General features: G+C 42.9%; 1 protein-coding gene across 1 annotated transcript; it reads left to right on the top strand.

Moving 5' to 3' along the window:
* TAS2R38 (taste 2 receptor member 38) lies at nucleotides 373-1,515 on the top strand. The gene has a single exon (NM_176817.5). The coding sequence runs from the start codon at nucleotides 457-459 to the stop codon at nucleotides 1,456-1,458; it is 1,002 nt and encodes a 333-aa protein (NP_789787.5). The 5' UTR covers nucleotides 373-456; the 3' UTR covers nucleotides 1,459-1,515.

Below are 3,225 nucleotides of genomic sequence, written 5' to 3'. Positions count from 1 at the left end.
TGCAGGGTGCCTCAAAACCCATAAGCAAATCCTGTTCTCTTCGCCACCCCCACAGGTCCAGATGGGCATGCAAAACTGGATTGGGGAAATTGAGGCCCTGTTTTGTTTGCATCCGTGATGCTGTGCTATGGCCTTCTGGGAAGGCGGTTGTACAGGAACACCTGGATTTATTAATCTTGCATCACCCAAGAGGTAGAACCATCAGTCTTCCACCCTATGATAAGCTCTTACGTGTATCCAAGAGATGTTCTAGAGAAACAACATCCCTCTAAGTTTCCTGCCAGAACTTTTTATGCGCTCGCTTTGGGATAGATCTAGGCAAAGAGCTGGATGCTTTGTGAAGGAAAGGTCCTGGCTTGGAACGTACATTTACCTTTCTGCACTGGGTGGCAACCAGGTCTTTAGATTAGCCAACTAGAGAAGAGAAGTAGAATAGCCAATTAGAGAAGTGACATCATGTTGACTCTAACTCGCATCCGCACTGTGTCCTATGAAGTCAGGAGTACATTTCTGTTCATTTCAGTCCTGGAGTTTGCAGTGGGGTTTCTGACCAATGCCTTCGTTTTCTTGGTGAATTTTTGGGATGTAGTGAAGAGGCAGGCACTGAGCAACAGTGATTGTGTGCTGCTGTGTCTCAGCATCAGCCGGCTTTTCCTGCATGGACTGCTGTTCCTGAGTGCTATCCAGCTTACCCACTTCCAGAAGTTGAGTGAACCACTGAACCACAGCTACCAAGCCATCATCATGCTATGGATGATTGCAAACCAAGCCAACCTCTGGCTTGCTGCCTGCCTCAGCCTGCTTTACTGCTCCAAGCTCATCCGTTTCTCTCACACCTTCCTGATCTGCTTGGCAAGCTGGGTCTCCAGGAAGATCTCCCAGATGCTCCTGGGTATTATTCTTTGCTCCTGCATCTGCACTGTCCTCTGTGTTTGGTGCTTTTTTAGCAGACCTCACTTCACAGTCACAACTGTGCTATTCATGAATAACAATACAAGGCTCAACTGGCAGATTAAAGATCTCAATTTATTTTATTCCTTTCTCTTCTGCTATCTGTGGTCTGTGCCTCCTTTCCTATTGTTTCTGGTTTCTTCTGGGATGCTGACTGTCTCCCTGGGAAGGCACATGAGGACAATGAAGGTCTATACCAGAAACTCTCGTGACCCCAGCCTGGAGGCCCACATTAAAGCCCTCAAGTCTCTTGTCTCCTTTTTCTGCTTCTTTGTGATATCATCCTGTGCTGCCTTCATCTCTGTGCCCCTACTGATTCTGTGGCGCGACAAAATAGGGGTGATGGTTTGTGTTGGGATAATGGCAGCTTGTCCCTCTGGGCATGCAGCCATCCTGATCTCAGGCAATGCCAAGTTGAGGAGAGCTGTGATGACCATTCTGCTCTGGGCTCAGAGCAGCCTGAAGGTAAGAGCCGACCACAAGGCAGATTCCCGGACACTGTGCTGAGAATGGACATGAAATGAGCTCTTCATTAATACGCCTGTGAGTCTTCATAAATATGCCTCTGATTCTTCAGGAATACAACTCTGATTCCTCACAAAGCCTTCCAATTTCTTCTATAAAACACAATTGAAAGTCTCTCCACTTTGTATCAATGAACTCACTTATAGATGAATAAAATAATTAAGCACTATACATGGCCTAGGCAAGAATAATGTTGGTACCCTAGGTTTGTTTTGATAAAATGAACAAAATAATTAAGTATTTGGTGTAAATCCTTTATATACTATAGCTTATTATTGGTATAAATCAAACCATGAGAAATCATCTCTTCTGAAATAATATCTAAATCCCAAGATAATATGTTTGGCTTTTAACATGACTGTTAAACCTCTTTCTCGGAACTTGTGCTAGCATCATTTTTGGAAATATTCACTACTACAATAAGGATATAATCCTCTTCAAACTTCGCAATTTTCATGGAAACAAAGACAAACTTGGAATGATAATTATGTCATAATTCCAGCTTCAAGAGGTACCACATAACTTCAACTTCAAGAGGCACGAGAGGATAGGGGTCGTTTTGTCTGAAAATACACTGATCCAGAAATGCACTTTTACCTACTCTATAATGATGGAAGAGAAGCAGATATTTGCTCAGTAGGTGACCTGGATGCCAGTAGGTGCCCTGTGTGGGCTTTCTGGCTATGCCCAATTTGCCTTTGAAGATGGTGCTTTGCCTGGTACCAAGTATTGGTCTCTCTGGTTGGAGACCCTACCAAAATCACCTAGCTGAAAGGTAAATTTGTAGAGATTTGGCATTGTCTGTATTCCTGCACAGGAACCCAGCCAGGAAGGCTTTCCTCAAATCAGGTACTGAAAGACTCAGGAGAAAACAAGGTATACCAGACATTTAAATCTTGATAGGCTTCGTGGTTCACAGGCTTCACAGTTGTAGCAGCTCACCACCAAGGCTCTTAGTTCTGCCAGCTGTGGGGCCAGAGAACTGTTTCCTCCTCTCAGGCACTTGGTCTTAATAGATCCAGATCTTCACCTCAGTTTTCCTCCAAAAATTAGCCATTTCTTCACCTGCAGTGGCTACAAAATTTGCAACTTCATCTGGCTTCCTTTCCTTGGTGGACACTGAAGTTGTCCCAGGATTCCCTTAAAGACCTAGGTCCTCGCTCTTGGCTGCACATTGAAATTATCTAAGGGGCTTTTTAAAAATCTCAATGTCCAGGCCAAATACAACCAATCAAATCAAATCTCTTGAGATGAAATGAGGCTTTTATTCTTTAATGCTCCTCAGGTGATTTCGGGGTGCAGCCAATGTTGAGATCCACTCTTCTAGATGCCCTGTTGGTGTAGAGGTGGAGCATCTTTTCATATGTTTATTTGTATGGCTTTATTTTTAACATTATGTTTCTGAGATTCACCCATAATATTATATGAGTCACTGCTTGCTTACCTACTCACTATTGCTGAACATTTTCCATTGCCTACAGTGTGGGGCTACTATGAATAAAGTTTCTATACACATTCTTGAATCCATTTCTTTGTAGGCATAGGTTCATTTCTCAGGTAAATACCTAGGAGTGAAATTACTGTGTTAAAAAATTTATATTCATTTAACTTTATAAAAACTGTTAAAGAGTTTTCCAGAGTGATTCTGACATTTTATGCTCCCCTCAATAATGTAGGAGAGCTGTTCCACATTCCCACCAACATTTGGTGTTGTCAGTCTTTTTGATTTTGGCCATTCTAGTGGGGATG

Source organism: Homo sapiens, chromosome 7 (genome assembly GCF_000001405.40).
Source record: "Homo sapiens chromosome 7, GRCh38.p14 Primary Assembly".
In the NCBI taxonomy this organism is placed as follows: Eukaryota; Metazoa; Chordata; class Mammalia; order Primates; family Hominidae; genus Homo; species Homo sapiens.
Note: the sequence above shows the minus strand (reverse complement) of the source record. Positions and strands in the feature narration are given on the sequence as shown.

Excerpts from the sequence above, each read along its gene's own strand:
- TAS2R38 (NM_176817.5), top strand. The coding sequence starts at position 457 with ATGTTGACTCTAACTCGCATCCGCACTGTGTCCTATGAAGTCAGGAGT.